The 18609-nt window shown below is 36.1% G+C and overlaps 1 protein-coding gene across 6 annotated transcripts in view; it reads left to right on the forward strand.

Annotated features, from left to right (window-relative positions):
- The window catches only part of FRY (FRY microtubule binding protein), a 267352-nt gene that overhangs the window by 148058 nt on the left and 100685 nt on the right, over positions 1-18609 (forward strand). For all 6 annotated transcript variants that reach the window (XM_047429999.1, NM_001411012.1, XM_047430000.1 and 3 more), the window contains 6 exons: positions 3146-3203; positions 4769-4860; positions 5145-5317; positions 6429-6589; positions 7715-7825; positions 14312-14466. In XM_047429999.1, the coding sequence (XP_047285955.1) occupies positions 3146-3203; positions 4769-4860; positions 5145-5317; positions 6429-6589; positions 7715-7825; positions 14312-14466 (750 nt within the window). The remainder of the gene's footprint in view (positions 1-3145; positions 3204-4768; positions 4861-5144; positions 5318-6428; positions 6590-7714; positions 7826-14311; positions 14467-18609) is intronic.

The following is an 18609-nucleotide window of genomic DNA, read 5'->3' on the forward strand; positions in this document are numbered from 1 at the left end:
ATACATGCTGCTGCTATTGTAGTTCCTTTATTAACTCAGATTTGAGTCTGTGTGTTGGCGTGTGCCCAGAGAGTTTATAGGCTTTGTGTGACTTCCCACTACATCGTCTTGGTTGATGTGCATGTAACAAGCATTCCTTGCAACTGCCTCTCCTGTCACTTTTAGTCATTGCAACTTTGATTTTACCTCTCAGATTTTATTTCACTGGCAAGCTTTGTTTTAGACAACTAAAAATGAAGATAGTTCAGTATCAATCCCAGTTGGCCAGACTGTTCAGAGGTTATCACATCAAAATAATAACAGTCTGCTCATCAGCCATTTACCCAACAGATTCTCAAAGGTTAAGCATTGATAAAACCCTTTCCAATGTGTTCAGTTCCATTGGTTGATCTTTCTATTTTTTTTTCTTTTTTTTTTTCTTGAGACGGAGTCTCGCTCTGTCACGCAGGCTGGAGTGCAGTGGCGCAATCTCAGCTCACTGCAACCTCTGCCTCCTGGATTCAAGCGATTCTCCTGCCTCAGCCTCCTGAGTAGCTGGGGCTACAGACCCGCGCCACCACATCCAGCTAATGTTTGTATTTATAGTAGAGACGGGGTTTCACCATGTTGACAAGGCTGTTCTCGAACTTCTGACCTCAAGTGATCCACCCGCCTCAGCCCCCCAAAGTGCTGGGATTACAGGCGTGAGCCACCATGCCCGGCTTCATTGATCTTTCTATAGGGCACTTTCTTTGCCTTAATGTAACCATATACCTGCTTTCTGGATTCCTTATTTATTCACATTTGCAATCAAATAATCATTCCATCTGAAGTACTGTCAAAGCCTTTGAAAGAAACATTGTAAAATGTTAGTTTGGTTTGCCTCTGATGACTTTAGATAAGCAACAAAACCCTATAAAGACAAATAAAATCGCAAACAAAATTTTCCATGTAGATAGAAATGAGAAACCTCCAAGCATTTATGAGAAACCCTACTTGAAAAATAAAGATTAATAAGATGTTTTAGAGGCTATTGAAAAAGATCTAAGTTACTTATGGTTAGAGTCAGATTTTATTCTTTTGTTTGTTTATTTTTTTGAGATGGAGTCTCGCTCTGTCACCCAAGCTGGAGTTCAGTGGCGTGATCTTGGCTCACTGCAACCTCCGCCTTCCAGGTTCAAGCAATTCTCCTGCCTCAGCCTCCTGAGTAGCTGGGATTACAGGCACGCACCACCACTCCTGGCTAATATTTTGTATTTTTAGTAGAGACAGGGTTTCACCATATTGGCCAGGATGGTCTCGAACTCCTGACCTCGTGATCTGCCCACCCCGGCCTCCCAAAGTGCTAGGATTACAGGCGTGAGCCACCACGCCCAGCCCAGATTTTATTCTTAAAAGAAGTAATTGTGGGTTCTGACTGCGTAGGTTACCAGTTAACCAGAGTTTTACTAGTTATTGGTTAATTAATTAAGACAAAATATCATATAGAAATACAAGGAGATGGACGGGTGCAGTGGCTCATGCTTGTAATCCCAGCACTTTGGGAGGCTGAGGTGGGTGGATCACCTGAGGTCAGGAGTTTAAGACCAGCCTGGGCAACATGGTGAAATCCCGTCTCTATTAAAGTACAAAAATTAGCCAGGCGTGATGGTGTGCACCTGTAGTCCCAGCTACTCGGGAGGCTGAGGCAGGAGAATAGCTTGAACCCGGGAGGCAGAGGTTGCAGTGCACTCCAGCCTGGGCAACTGAGTGATACTCCGTCACCAAAAAAAAAAAAAAAAAAAAAGGAAAGAAATACAAGGAGATAACAATAACAATCCCTGAAATTACCCAACATTCTTACCTGAAGAATCTAAGATTGTTTTGCATATATAGACCTCTAAATACTTCTGGAGGCAGGTAAGATTATGCAACCAACTAGCCTCATGAGTCTAGAAAACTTAATGTCTCTGGGCCTCAGTTTTCTCAACTGTAAAATTGGCATAATAAATAAAAATATATAAGTGTATCTGTCTAATTTTTTAAATGTTAGTATAGAGAATCCATCTCATAAATTTATTGAGAAGGCATATTAAATGTAAATATTCACAATGTAAATATTTGTTAAATGGTAGCTGTAAAGTGGAGGAAATTATCGATGTTATTCCCATTTCTTCGATGAAGAAATTCTAATGTCTGCATTGGAGAAATCAGGAATAGAACCCAGGCTTTCTGTCTCTCGATATGGAATGTCATAGAGTTTATCTTCCTGTCTTTGGATTTTCCTGGCTAGTGATGTTTAATAGAACAAAATATCCTACCAGAAAGTACAAGGTTTTCAAACTTGGGCATACTACAGACAAAATACCTACATACTAGTCTGACAACAAGCTACATCTTATCTTTTTGTCTGTTTTTTGACCTAGCAATTCAGAAGTTATTTCTTGAAGAAGAGAACTAATTAGATTAGAAAGTGTAATGTTGAGAACTGGAGATAATCAGAACAAAGATATATACTGTGATCAAGACTTACATTTTTACTACATAAAAGAAAAGGTTTTGATGGGAATCTCACAATTTTAGTACTTGCCATACAGAATTTTTTATTTATTATATAGTGGAAATAAAGGAATTTAGTTCTGAAATCCAAAAAAGGCTTTGTTTTAAAGTCAACTGTAAGTCAGTTTGCGGAGCACAGATCCCAAATGCAGCACTGTGGTAATTGCACCCATCTCTTTTCCACTAATTAGACTGAAAATTTCTTGTGTACAGGGGCTCAATTTTATTTATCTTGAGCTCCATAGCTTGCAGTAAAGTGCTTGAATTTAGCAAATACTTGGAAAATATTGTTTGTTTAATTGTTCACATAGGGTTTTGTTTTTTTGTTTGTTTGTTTGTTTTTTGCCATAGAGATCTCCAGAACATTAAATCAAAATCAAGTCAACAAATAGATTTTAAGCCAGAATTATATGCATAGCACTGGAATTAAGACCAGTAATACAAAGTATAGGCCAATACCTGTTTCCAGCTTAGCACGTGATTGGGAAATGGAGAGATCAGGGAGATTGTGATGTCAGAAGCAAAGTGTAAAAAGCAAGTGATTTGGGATTAAATGGATATAGAGTATTTAGTGACAAGTTTGGTGTCAAAAACAATGAATTTCAAATTTGACCTTTTTCCTCCACAGAGAATTGGTAGAAGAACTTCATCCATTAATGAAAGAAGCTCTGGAAAGAAGACCAGAGGTAAGAATTTGAATTTAAAAAATTAAGGCTTGGTTTTTTGGACAATCATCTGAATTTAAATCAAACCTAGTGATTTCCCCTAAAGAATACAAACCCCTAACACCTTTTAACAAATGAATCTTTATATTTTAACTTTTGTTGTTTTTATTATTTTTCAGTTTTCATTATTTAGTATAAAATGGTTCTATAGATTTTATGTCCTAAACATACAAATGCAAAACAACTTAAAATACTCATGTTTGTCAACTATTACATTCTTTTGCAGGAGGTTTGAGTTAAAATTGAATTTTGGGTTTTTGTGTGTTTGCTTGTTTTTTCACAAGGAGTTGAATGGCCAAGAATGTAATTTGTTTCATCTGGCATACGAGGCATTTTCCCTAGCATCACCTTCCCTGAAGTGAATTCTGAAAAGGATGAACTTATAATGTACCAGGATAAAAATAATAATAAGACTAGAAAAGGGCCAGGCGCGATGGCGCACGCCTGTAATCCCAGCATTTTGGGAGGCCAAAGCGGGCAGATCAAGAAGTCAAGAGATCGAGACCATCCTGGCCAATATGGTGAAACCCCATCTCTACTAAAAACACAAAAATTAGCTGGGCGTGGTGGCACGCGCCTGTAGTCCCAGCTACTCTGGAGGCTGAGGCTGGAGAATCACTTGAACCTGGGAGGTGGAGGTTGCAGTGAGCCGAGATCACGCCACTGCACTCCAGCCTGGGTGACAGAGCAAGACTCTGTCTCCAAAAAAAAAAAAAAAAAAAAAACCTAGAAAAGGAGGCTTCTCATATAGTAGCAATGATACAAGAAATAGCAGAAATTAGGTCAGGTGCAGTAGCTCATGCCTGTAATCCCAGCACTTTGGGAGGCCAATGTAGAAGGATTACTTGAGGCTAAGAGTTTGAGACCAGGCTGGGCACATAGCAAGACCTAGGTCTACAAAAATGTTTTAAATTAGCCGGGTGTGGTGGTGCATGCCTGTAGTCCCAGCTACTAGAGTAGCCAGGTGTGGTGGTGCACGCCTGTAGTCCCAGCTACTCGAGAGGCTGAGGCAGAAGAATCACTTGAGCCCAGGAGTTCGAGGTTATAGTAAGCCAAGATCACACCACTGCACTCCAGCCTGGGTGACATGGTGAAATCCTATCTCAAAAATAAATAAATAAAATGTAAAAATAAAGAAATAACAGAAATTCAGCAGTGTGAATAAGAACAAACAGTGTTACTTCCATGACCAGAACTGGGATTATTTCATGTCCCCTGCCCCTTTCACTGGTTTGAGATGCTTCTGCCTTTCAGCAGACACTGGGAGCATCTGGGAAATGAGGCTTGTTGGTTCTCAACATTGCCACCTAATATTTACTGACCCACTTATGATGTTTTTTTTTCTTACAGCCTGTAGATAGCAAGCATTTCCTCTGAGGATTAGGAAGAAAGAAAAATGTATGCTGACTTTTATGCTTAGAAAATTGAAAATGACTAGATTATGCCTTTTGTTAATACCATTTTCTAAAACAAAGTTAATATTGTTTTGCCTGTGTCTGTAAGTGATACTACCTCTTTCTACACAGAACAAGAAACGCCGAGAACGGCGAGACTTGTTAAGGCTACAACTACTTCGAATTTTTGAACTTTTGGCTGATGCTGGTGTAATAAGTGACAGGTAGGATCAGAATTCTACCGAGTTGCTCTCTTCTCACCAGACTGATCTTTTTGTTTTCTTTCTGTCTCTCTCTTTTGTCTTTTCTTTGTTTTTAAATATAATACCCTTAACTTAGAAAAATCCAAAAACTCGCTTTTTCTTTTTTCATATTTTCTTTACACTGCATATAGGTTAGGAACAACTTTAGTGTGTGAGTTGTGACAGTGAATCTTAGTTTTCATGAAGCCTGTATTACTTTGACATAAAGACTGATCATCTAAAAGTTTCATTTTCCTTTATTCCAGCACAAATGGAGCCCTAGAGCGGGATACTTTAGCCCTGGGAGCTTTGTTCTTAGAATATGTGGACTTGACCCGCATGCTCCTAGAAGCTGAAAATGACAAAGAAGTTGAAATTCTTAAAGATATCCGGGCACATTTTAGTGCAATGGTGGCCAACTTGATTCAGTGTGTTCCAGGTACGGTGATCCGTTACAAGAAATTACCATTCATGCTTGGAAGCCCATTCGTGTTCTTTATTACGGTGCTTTCGTCTTTAACCCTACTGGCCTTTATGCAGGTCTGGGATGGTGAAGTTTATTTACTTCGAGATACTAGGACATATATATGAGAACAGATTGTCATTACTCAGCACAGAGTTGGAAGGGGAATGATAAGTATTAAATTTGGCTTTGTGTGTGTCATTTCTATTCTTTGTTTTGGTTTCCATCTGAAAATGAACTGATGTGATTTCCATAGGAAGGAAGTAATTCAGAAGGAACATTCACACAGGCTTCATTTTTTTCACATTGTCTCTGTACTAATCTGTGAACAGGTAATTTCAGCAATATTTCTTCTCTCTGACTCTACCCTACCAACACATTAAATGTAATTCTATAAAGCTTAATATATTTTACATTTGATTAAATATTACATTATGGAGAAAATTATCTTTCACAGAGCAAATGGGTATGAAACATCTTCATTCTAATAGAACATAGAAAATAAAATATCTGGTTAGTTTGCTATAAAAAATTATTCTAATTAAATTTTTTGATATTATTACAAAAAGCCCCTTATCAACTAATATTTCCGCTTTTCGCTATTTTGATGTTAATAACCTTCTTTACCAATCCTTCTCATCTTCAGCGACCCTAAATTAAGATTTCAGTTTACCTCTTCAGTTAAAGCGAAGTACCTATGTGAGTTTGAAATAGACAGTCTATGCTATTTCCGAGTTCTCTTAAAGATGGGCAGCAGTCAAAAAACATTTAATATGTAAGCAGCAGCTGAGTGGGAAGTGTTGCAGTTTTCCCAGGTATTGATTAGAAAAAAATCTCTGCAGGTCCTATTTTTGATCTTTCTTTCCCACTCTGAGTCAAGGTGCTGCTGGCTGCAACGTGAGGACAGGAAGAGTGCACACTTAGAAAAGAAAATGTGGCTTGACTTTTTAAGTGCATGTTTCATTGCCTAAAGAAAACTGTAGTTAAAAAATGAAGTGGTTCCTTTCCTCAAAATGTAAGAAATATATATAATAGCGATATACAGTATGTCCAGTCTTATAACCTCTAAGTGTGTTTTTCTCCCTAGTTCACCACCGAAGATTTCTCTTCCCCCAGCAAAGTCTGAGGCACCACCTTTTCATCTTATTCAGCCAGTGGGCAGGACCCTTCAGCATTATGTTCACTCCTCTGGATCGTTACAGTGACAGAAATCATCAGATTACAAGATATCAGTATTGTGCATTAAAAGTAGGTGATATTGTACTCACGAATGACTGAGTCAGATGGATGGTCTCTCTCGTTAAACTAATAACCATGCCTTAAAAATAAGCTTAAAATAAATAATACAATATCATAGAATAAAATCTAAGCGCACATACAAAAAAATCACATGGACACACACGTACATAGCTTTTCTAAGCTCCCATTTTCTTCTCATATTTCTCCTGTATGGGAACCATATATTTTTGCTCATTTACCCATTATATAGCTGTCTTGTCAATTAACTTTCAACCTAAAAAAGAAAAAAATAGACATCACCTCAGGTTCAAAATCTACCCAGAGCGACATTCCCTTTTTAATCTCCTTCTATCCTAGAAGACTGCCAGAAATAAATTTCCCCCCAACTAGGACTATTCAAAATCTTCAGAAGCATGACTCCTTTACAGCCTAATTTCCTTCAGAAAACTAACTGTATATCAGCTCTGTCATACAGAACATAAGTTGCTGACTCTCAGATTACCTTTGCCTCGGTGGAACTAATTTAAACTATGGCCCTGATAGTCAGTTGGACCTGCCAATTGCAAAGTTATTCAAGATCTCCTCTTCTCCTACTTTCCCTTGATTTATCCCTCCACCCACCCCTTTAGAGGAACTAAAGTTTTTATTTTTCATTTTATTTACCTTTGATTAAGGATTATAATTATTTACTTTCATACTTTTCATATATTTTATACTGTCTCAGTTCAATACGTTAGTCCAATATTTGTCGTAAAAGCAAAATTCGAAAAGCTATATTTATCTTATAAGCAGAATTCACTTGAAACATTGAAGGAAAGCTTATTTTAAATATTGCAAAATAGTTTTTTGGTTTTGAATACTTACTCTGATCATAAAGAGTTGTTATAATTATAAAATTAAATGTCCACAAAGGTAAACTTATGGGTTTTTAATTCTTATGAAAAGAGCCAAATTTGGAATCTGGTATTTTTTATTAAAGCTACTAAAGAATGCTTTAAAAATCATGGGGAAATAAGTGTCTTTAGAGGGCCCTTATCATTTATAATTCTGACAATTATGGTTTATAAAGTCAGTTGGATACCATTAGATCATTCCAAGTTTCATTTCCATGTCTTGTTGTGTTTTTATCATCAGGCAATGTCAGCAGTACTGTGCTGTGGCCCTGTCTTTGACAATGTGGGCCTTTCCCCAGATGGCTACCTATATAAATGGCTTGACAACATTCTGGCTTGTCAAGATTTACGAGTAAGTATAGGCAAAAATACATTGTTTTTGAATGTCTTCTGTGTTCTGCCTCAGTTGAGTTACTGAGATGTGTAAGCATTGTTCACAATACCTCTTCACACATCAGCCACACAAGTATAGATTTATGTGTTGTTTGCTTTACGCTATGATACATCAAGATAAAAAAGATAGTAACATTTATCAAAACTGACCATAAGCTGGGTCATAAAGCAAATCTCAACAAAGGTCACATTAGTGAAATGATAGAGACTATGTTCTCTAATCAGAGTAGCATTAAGTTGGTATTCAATTCAATAACAAAAAGATAATTTTAAAAAATACTTCCTGATAACCAGTGAGTTGAAGAATAAATTACTATGGAAACTGGAAAATATTTTTAACTGAAGAATAATGAAAGTACTATATCCTAAACTTGTGGGCTGTAAGTAAAGCCTTTCTTAGAATGAAATGCATAGCCTTAAACACATATACAAGAGGACTTCAAAAAGTTTTGTGGGAGAATAGAATTAAAAGATAAAAATTTTAAAAATATAAACTTTATTTCTTAATAATCTCCATCAAGGTTAAGACATTTTTCGAAGTCTTTGCTTACTCCATGCCTAAAGAATCCATCCCAGACCTAAGTCCTGGAAACTTAACCATGTCAATGCCACGTTCTCTACATTATTACCTGAAGAAAATTCGTGACTTTTAGAGATTTTTTTAAGATGAGGAAACCAAAAGAAGTCAGAAGGAGCCAAATCAGAACTGTAAGATGGATGCCTAATGATTCCCCATCAAAACTCTTGCAAAATTGCCCTCATTTGATGAGAAGAATTAGCAGGAGCATTGTCATGGTGAAAAAGGACTTTCTGGTAAAGTTCTCCCAGGTATTTTTCTGCTAATGCTTTGGCTAACTTTCTCAAAACACTCTTATAATAGCAGATGTCATTGCTCTTTAGCCTTCTGGAAAGTCAACAAGCGAAATTCCTTGAGAACCCCAAAAATCTATTGCCATGACCTTTGCTCTTGAATAGTCCACTTTTGCTTTGACTGGACCACTTCCATCTCTTGGTAGCCATTGTTTTTATTGTGCTTTGTTTTTAGGATAGCACTGGTAAAGCCATGTTATATCTCCTGTTACAATTCTTTGAAGATCTATAGAATCTTAATTCCATTTGTTGAAAATTTTCATTGAAAACTCTACTTGTCTACTGCTGATGAGTTTTGGTGCCCGTCACATGGAACATTTGCTAAAGTTTAATTTTTCAGTCAGAATTGTATAAGCTGAACAGATTGAGATGTCTGTAGTGTTGGTTATTGTGTCTGCTGTTAATCGTCAGTCCTCTTTAATTAGGGCACAAACTAAGTGAATTTTTTCCTCACAAATTGGTATGGATGGTCTACCACTGTGGGCTTCATCTTCAACATCATCTTAAAACAGGTTTTCTATTTGTAAACTGCTAATTTCTTTGGAAGAATTGCCCCATACATTTTTTTAAAGCAGCAATGATTTCACTATTCTTCCACCCAAGCTTCACTATAAATTTGATATTTGTACTTGCTTCAATTTCAGCAGGATTCATGTTACTCTGATAGCGGCTCTTTTCAAACTGATGTCTTCTCCTTCTTAGTGCCTCAAACTAAATTCTGTTCAGACATGTTATAACAAGTTAGCACAAGTTTATTTTGGTGCAAAAAATTTTTAATCCATGCATAATTTTTTCATAATATACATTTTCCATGAGCTTTCTGAAGACTCTCATATTAAAGAGAGAAAAGGTGGATAATCAATGACCTAAACATCCATCACAAGAAGTTAGAAAAAGAATAGACTATCAAACTCAAAAACAGTACCATGAAGGAAATAATAGAAATAAGAGTAGAAATTAATGAAAGAGAAACAAATTAATGGTAGTGATCACTAAACCAAAAGTTGAATTTGTTACAATACTAAAAAAAATCATAAATCCATGGCAAGTTCAATCAAGAAAGAGAGAGTGACTTTCTTTAAAGTGTTAAAAAAAAGAAGACTATAAAACCAGATGGCTTTGCTGATGAATTCCACTGAACATTTAAAGAAAAAATTGCATGGATTCAATGCAAATTCTTGAAGAGAAAACAGATGAAGAGGAAATACATCCCAGTACATTTTGTGAAACCAGAATAACCTTGATAATAAAACAAGAAAAGGTTGTAGCAAGAAAGAAAATTAAAAGGCAGTCTCATTCATGAGATTGTCTCTAATACATAGATACAAAACTTTAAATAAAATATTAGAAAATTGAATTTAATGATATAGAAAAAAGATGATTTACCATGGTCAAATTGGGTTTATTGAAGAACTGTAAGGTTGGTTAATATTCAAATGTCTGTCAGTTCATTCACATATTAACTATATTCACAGAATCTCAAAAACATGATCTCAGATGTACGAAAAGCATTTGTTAAAGTTCTACATTTATTCATGAGAAAAACTCCTGGCAAAACTACAAATAGAAAAGAACATCCTTAGTTTGACAAAAGGCACCTTGAAAAAAAAAACACCCTATGAGCACCATATTTAATATAAAATATGTAAACATCATATTTAATAGTTAATTTGAAAGTGTTCTCTCTGAGATTAAAATGGCCAAGGAAGCTTACTGTCACCACCTCTATCAACATCATACTGGAGATCCTAGCCAATGCAGTAGGAAAGAAGGGATTATAAAGAATAATAAAACATAAATAAAACTCATTGCTCACAGGTGACACAATTGTGTGTGTAGGAAATTCCAACAAGTCTTTAGATAAAGTGTTGGAATTAATCAGTGAATTTAGCCTGGTTGCCATATGAAAGGTCAAAATTAAAAATCAATTATATTTCAGTACAGCAACGATGGGGAGCTGGAAAAATAAATTTTTAATTATGCCACTTATAATGGCATTTTAAAATTAGGAATTAACATTGGAATTAACATTAAACACTCAGGAATAAACCTAACAAAAATGTGCAAGGCCTCATACATAGAAATATATAAGGCATTAGTGAGAAAAATTAAACATCTAATAAATGGAAGAATATACCATGCTATTGAATAGGAAGATTCACTATTGTAAAGAAGTCAGTTCTCCTCCAGAATGATTTATGGAGACAATGCAATTCCAGTCAAAATCCGGGCAGGATATTTGTGACAACTGAAAGTTCCTTTCAAGACCAGAAATAGCTAAGATAACTTTGAACACTATAATCAAAGTGAGAGGATTGACTTCAGCAGAAACCAATACTTACTATAAACGTATGGTCATTAAAACACTGAACTACTGACCAAGAATAAGTATATATACCAATGGAGTAGAATAGGGAGGCCAGAAAATTACCCATGTATTATGTATATGCATACATGGTTTATTTCAAAGATGGCACTGCAGAGCTATGAGAAAAATGGTTTTTTTCCAATAAGTAATTTGGGGTCAATTGGATAGCCTTACTAAAGGAAAGAAAGAAAAAGAAATTTGATCCTTTCCTCACACTTTACAAAAATTCATTGCAGATGGATTGTAGATCTAAATGTAACAGCTAAAATAATAGTCTCTAGAAAAGAATCCAGAAGAATATCTTCATCCCTGGGGTTACAGTAAGATTTCTTGAGCAGAATGCAAAAATTACTAACCCTGAGGAAGAGCTGTTAACTTTTATTCACCAAAAGACACCATTAAGAGTGTGAACAGGCTAGCCATAAAGTGAGAGATGTCTATAACACACAGTCAGCAGAGGGTTCTTATCTAGAATATATAAAGGACCCCTACAAATAAATAAGATAAATACAGACTGAATAGAAAAATGAGCAAGAAACTTAAGCAGTTCACCGAAGAGGTTATCTAACTGACCAGTAAACATAAGAAAACATTCTCAAGCTCATTAATAATCATGTATCTTAGTCCATTCAGGCAGCTATAACAAAATATCATAGACTAGTGGCTTATCAACAACAGAAATTTATTTCTCACAGTTTTGGAGGCCAAGAATTCCAAGGTTAAGGTGCTGGCAGATTTATGTCTGGTGAGGGCCTTTTTCCTGGTTCACAGGCAGCAGTCTTTTTGCTGTGTCCTCACTTGACATAAGAGACAAGGGAACTCTCTGGGGTCTTTCTTATGAGAGCACTAATCTCATTCACAGGGCTCCCCACCTCATGACCTAATCACCTCCTAAAGGCCCCACCTCCAAATACCACCACCTTGGGGGTTAAGATTTAAATATGAATTGGAGGTTGCGGGGATACAAACATTCAGTCTATAGCATGAGGGAAATGCAAATAAAAGCCACAGGAGACAAAATTATATACCATATAATTCCATTTATATAGACCTCAAAAACTGCCCATACTAACAAGTAGTGCTAGAAGTCAAGATAGTGGTTTCTCCTGGGTAGGAAAGACAGGCTGGTGTTTAAGAGAGTGCCCAGGGGAGGGTTCAGTGGTGCTGGTAATATTCTGGTTTTTGACCTGGTGGTGATCATAGGAGGGTGTTAAAATGACTCATGATATACATAGGAACTGTATACTATTTCTGTGTATTTTATACCTCAATATAAGTTTCTAAAGTACAATAAAAGCTTGATTCTTCTCTCAAGTCTAACTTTTTAATGACTTTTTTTGTTTTGTTTGTTTGTTTATTTGTTTTGTTTTGTTTTGTTTTTGAGACGGAGTCTCGCTCTGTCCCCCCGGCTGGAGTGCAGTGGCTGGAGTGCAGTGGCGCGATCTCGGCTCACTGCAACCTCCACCTCCCGGGTTCATGCCATTCTCCCGCCTCAGCCTCCTGAGTAGCTGGGACTACAGGCGCCCGCCACCACGCCTGGCTAATTTTTTGTATTTTTAGTAGAGACATGTTATTTTAAGTCATTTGCAATAATATCGTCAGCTTTTATCTGCTGCTAATTACTTAAAGCGAGTTGGGGGAAACTAGGTTGAAGATGTTTGACCATCCAGTTAGAATATCACTCCCACCTAGGCCCAAACCCTGTAAGTAAAAAAACATGAAGAAGCCAGAATCTTGCCTTTTCCACCTGGTTTCAACTGACAAGAAGAGTGAACAACTTTAAGAAGAGGCACCAGAATGTTACTTTTTTTTTTTTTTTTTTTTTTGAGACAGAGCCTCACTCCATTGCCCCAGCTGGAGTGCAGTAGCGCCATCTCAGCTCACTGCAACCTCTGCCTCCCGGGTTCAAGTGATTCTCGTGCCTCAGCCTCCCCAGTAGCTGGGATTACAGGCGCACACCACCATGTCCAGCTAATTTTGTATTTTTAATGGAAATAGGGTTTCACCACATTGGCCAGGCTGGTCTCAAACTCCTGACCTCAAGTGATGCGCCTGCCTGGGCCTCTCAAAGTGCTGGGATTACAGGTGTGAGCCACCACTCTGGGCCAGAATGTTACTTTCTGAGAAGAAAGTAACATATGTAACCTCTAGGCACCAGGCTTCTCCTGGACAAATGTGCATATTCACTGACCATCTAGTATTTGAGAGTAGCTTCAGGCATCATCGATTCAGCATCCTATTAATTCTATCTAGTATGATTTTTTAATTAAAAAACTTTGATTAAAAAGAGTCTACTGAGACTGTATTTCTTTTTGAAAGATAGGCCACTAAGCTTCACAAAGTATATTTAGTAACCAATCCTCATAATCATATTTCCTCTGATTTTTTCCTTAAGAGACTTTGTAGTAGGAATAGACATTGATACACAAGTATACTTCACATCTGCCACTATAATTATCACTATTCCTACTGGCATCAAAATGTTTAGGTGAGTGGCCACTCTGCATGCACGGTGGTAACATCAAATGATCCCCCACAATACTCTGAGCTAATACATAGAGGATACCCTTTTGTATATTGGATTTTTTAAACCAAATACGTGTATTTTTCAGAAATATTTTAAATGCAAAAAAAATTGCCAATAAAGTCTTCGTCCTTTTTTTTTTTTGAGACCTAGTCTCACTCTGTCACCCAGCCTGGAGTGCAATGGCACGATCTCAGCTCACTGCAACCTCTGCCTCCCAGGTTTAAGTGATTCTCCTACCTCAGCCTCCTGAGTAGCTGGGACTACAGGCACCCACCACCACGCCCAGCTAATTTTTTCTATTTTTTAGTAGAGACAGGGTTTCACCATGTTGGCCAGGCTGGTCTCGAACTCCTGACCTCAGGTAATCCACCCACCTCAGCCTCCCAAAGTGCTGGGATTCCAGGCGTGAGCCACCACGCCCAGCCACTCCTTTCCAGAGGTAAAAATTGAGAATAGATGGACCCTATGTAACAGACTTACATGATCAAATTTAATGTATACATTTCAGTTTTCAGTTACGACATTATACTCTTGAAGAATATATGACATAAAAACCAAAATGAAAGCTCGGTCTTCCCTTTCATTTTACTCAGTTTATATTGACTAAGCTTTATCTGTATCTTTCTCTAGAACATTCTTTCATCAAATGGGAATAATATTGATTTGCTCCATGTATTCAGGTTCATCAACTTGGCTGCGAAGTTGTTGTCTTGCTACTGGAACTTAATCCTGACCAAATAAATCTTTTTAACTGGGCAATTGACCGATGCTACACAGGTTCCTACCAACTTGCATCTGGCTGCTTCAAAGCCATAGCAACTGTGTGTGGAAGCAGGTACGAATTTTTATAAGCAGTGATGAGTGGCAAGTATGTTTAGGGTTACTTTTTGTGATATGAATGACGGAGAGCTGTTTTGCAACTATATGAGCAAAGTAAGTTCTATGAGAATATAAAATGTTCTGTATGTCCCCAGCAGGTAAACTACTCCCTGTAAGGTTGCAGTTCCATTGGTTTTTCTCATTTTATCAGGAAATGATTTGTTGTTATAGTACCTTTCTTTTTAATTGCCTGGAAATTCACAGTCAGGTATTACAGCAGGATTTGAAAATGACAAAGAAGATACATTATAGGAATTAAAGGAATGTCTAGAAATGTTTATAACGAGGGTGAACTATAGCCCATCAGCCATCTTTACAGAAGACCAAACCCAGGAAGTGGCCTAAAATTTTTAAACTCACTTTACCCAAAACTTCAGAAAGGAAAAAAAGAAAAGAAAATGTGATACCAAAGGTTCTATAGATTACACTTTTAAAACCATTGCCTTTGTTATATAAATTAGTTATTCAGTGTAGCCATTCAGCATGATTTATGTGCTGAAATAAGTTCATAGCTACCAAGAAAGGGTTAATAAAGATTCTCCAAGTTGCATAAGCTATTCCCAAGAAAGCTTATGTATCAGAAAAATTGAGGGAAACCAGCTCGTTTATTTTTGAAAATATTCATATAGAGTGTCAATTTTCCTTTTTAATTAAATGTTGCACTTTAAATAGCTATCTTGAGCTACCAGATCAAGAGAATAAAAGTGAATTAGTTTTAAATTCCAATCTCTTAGAGGTCTAAGTTAGTAAAAGCGGTATTTTGGAAGACGTCTACTTTCAATAAACCTAAAATGAACATGCTATTTAGAGAGACAAGTTTCTCCTTAAAATTTTTATCTTTCTTTTATAAAGATAGTAGATAACATTTCATATCTAAAGGTTTCAGCAGTAGAGTTTTTATTATAGATTTTAATATGCATAAAAGTTAGAGCAAATGAATATAACCTAAACTGCCTGATTTTCCATCAAGTTTTATTTCCTGTTATAAGCATTACTAAAAAATATACTTTAGGACATTACCAAAGGAACATTGTTACAAAAATCTCTTTGTCCAGAGTGCTTTTTTTTAAATTTTCAGATATTTCAACATTCTAAAAATAAAGTTTTGTTCACATGACCCTTTGATTTTAAAAAATATATTTAGAATCTATGGCTTGGGCTTCTTTCTTTGACAAAAATAAGTTTCACCTCTTCGCTGCCCTTCTCCCAGTGAACTTGGCTTGAGCTATCCTAATCAAATTTATTGCATTGCATGGACATCTCACAAAACATTACACTGCATTTCTCTGAATAAATCTAGGTATTTTTCCTTAGGGAGCACAAATAAGTGCTTAATAAATTTAACAACATAGTCTCAATTTCAATAATATCTCTAGTCACAAAAATATTAGGTCATAAAACCTGCTATGTTCCAAGTATTTTTTTAAGGCATCATTGTACACTATCTTGGTTTCTTAGACAAATATTGCATATCTGTTTGCATTCATGACACTCATCTATTCTGAAGGAAGGGCAGAGGGCAGGAGAATACAATAGCTTGAACCCAACTGTCCAGATAGTGACCAGCATTTCTGCCATTTCTCAACACAGGGCATGTTCAGAATTTAAAATTTCAGCTGTTGCCTAAATTTGCTCTTTCCACATAAATTCTCAGCCTGTGTAGTCTAGACAGGCCTCCAGAGAGGCTTGAGCAGTCATTGTGCTTGAGTTTGCAGTACTTTTTTACAAAACCAATTGTGATATTTTCAGCTCTTGCTTGATTTGTCTTCTGTAAGTTTGCTTCTAAAAAGCAACTGAAGACCTTATGAAATATGTTTCTGAAAAGTCATATGCAAACTGAATTTTATTTTAAGTTTCTCAAACAAGTTATCTACACAGTAACTCCTACAAGTCATTTTCTAAAGCAAAGAATTCTTGTAAGATAAATAATGATCTCCTCCTTTTCAAATAGGAATGATTATATCCTGGATTTATTTGTAGAGGAATATGACAGTTTATAAGTACATTTATTTATTAAGAAACCACTCATAATTGACTTTAAAATACCTAAAGGATTAAATTTTTTTAAATGTTCTTGTTGATTTAAATTTTCTACTTTAGCTTTAGAAAAGAGGATTTGCCATTTTTGCATAATTAATGTATCAGTGTTCATTAGCTGTGGCAATGGGGAAAATGGTTCTCTACATCCTTCTTTTTGGTTACTTTTCCAGCAGTAAAGGACTGTGTGTGAGTGTGAGAGTGTGTGTGTGTGTGTGCATGTGTTGTGAACTTACTGTTCTCTAGTCAAAACTCTACAGCTATGCCATGCTATGACTCTGGTGATATTAGGAGATAGAAAGTCAGAACAGAACTTGAATAGGACCAAAGGAAATGAGGATAAAGATAGAAAGTGATGGTAGAACTGGCAGTATTAATTTTGCAAAATTTTTCATAAAACATGTTAATATATTTGATTAAATGCTATTAGATACAGCTCACTACTATAATTTAGTACAAAAAATTGCTTACTTGTTAGGCAGCTTTAGTTCAAATAACTATTTGGCTTCTGTGTGTGTCCTAATTAATTTTCCCCCACTCCAAATGAGATTAGAATAAGATAGATAAGGAAATTGAGAAAGAAACTAAATGACTTTCCAAGGTTATAAATCAAGGTAAATTGTGTATTAAGAATATAGGCCATTTCCAATCACTAGCTTAACGCACCAGAATTCTCCTCACATTTTAATTAAATACTTAAGAATTTCATTATTTTTACTTTTACCTTCCAACACACTTTTAAAACGTGTTTAATAGATATTTTAGAATTGTATGTAAGAACAAAGTGCAAAGTGTTGATTTTTAAATAATTTTGTTGGATTTATTTTCGGTGGTGGTTTTTGTTGGCATTGTTTGTATGTTTGTTTTTCTTTAAGTTAACATTCTGTAAATCTTCCTAATTTAAGTCAGGCCTAGCAAACTTGAATTCTTAAAAGTGAATGCCTATTTCTTCAGGGAATATTATCCATCTATCAACAAGGAAGACAGGCAAAGCTTATGATTCATAAATCCCAATCACACTCCCTAACTGATGATAAATAGCCCTATTTGGTTATGTGAGCCATCCATCTGGAGTATTTCAGGAGAGCAGAGTTGGGAATCTGGGCTCCAGAAACATACCATCTTGGGTTCAAATCCTCACTCCACCTCTAATCAAGCAGCTGTGTGTTCTTGAACAAGTTACTGCAGTTGCCTACCCACTAGTAAAATAGGGCTGATGATAGGGTTAGAGTAATGATTAAACAAAAACAACCTCTTGGCCTAAGGCCTAACAAATGGTAAATACCCCATAAATAATGTTATTCAATAGTTGTTGGAGGAGAACAGCTGTGAAGTAATCCCCTCAATTAACCAGTAAAATCTTTCTCTTCAGAATACCTCAGAGCCATCTTGAGCTTTGTCACATAGTACTAGGTAAGCCAGAGTAGCGGACATTTCCCAAATTCTTCAACATCTCCTCTCTTCTAGATAGTTTTATTTCTTGTTTACTTTTTGAGTCTCAACTACCTCCCATATTTATTTTATCATTTGATTTTTATTTGGTATGATCACAGCTGTCTTTATCTTTTACCCTTGCTCTGCCTATGCTGAATAATTAAATATTGAAAGGTATAAGATTCCATTTCTCAGCCTGTTTTCAACATCTAAGTACAGATACTTTATTTGTACTCTTTTGCTTATTTGAAATCTCTCTCATTGTTTCCTCCTCTGGGTTTCTTTCATTTTCTGGATCTGTTATTCCTTTCAGTGTTGTTGCTTATGAATTTAATAGCTCATTCTTCAACAACAAAATAAATGCTCTGATTACAAGGTCAAGTGCATGGCCCTGCCTAGTAAGAGGGAGGCTTTGTCTGCCCCTTTCCTGCCTTTAAATCTCCAGCGATCCAGCAATATATTTGGCTCATATATATGTATATTTGTATATATATAAATGTATTAATGTTAGATTCCAGTGTCAGAAGACAGAGACATAGGTAAAGCATCTCTGCTACTATAACACTCAGAAGGGAGTTTCCTTTCTACTTTTATAGGCAGAAAGGTCTGTTCCAAGATACAGCAATTT

Source organism: Homo sapiens, chromosome 13, assembly GCF_000001405.40.
Source record: "Homo sapiens chromosome 13, GRCh38.p14 Primary Assembly".
Taxonomy (NCBI): Eukaryota; Metazoa; Chordata; class Mammalia; order Primates; family Hominidae; genus Homo; species Homo sapiens.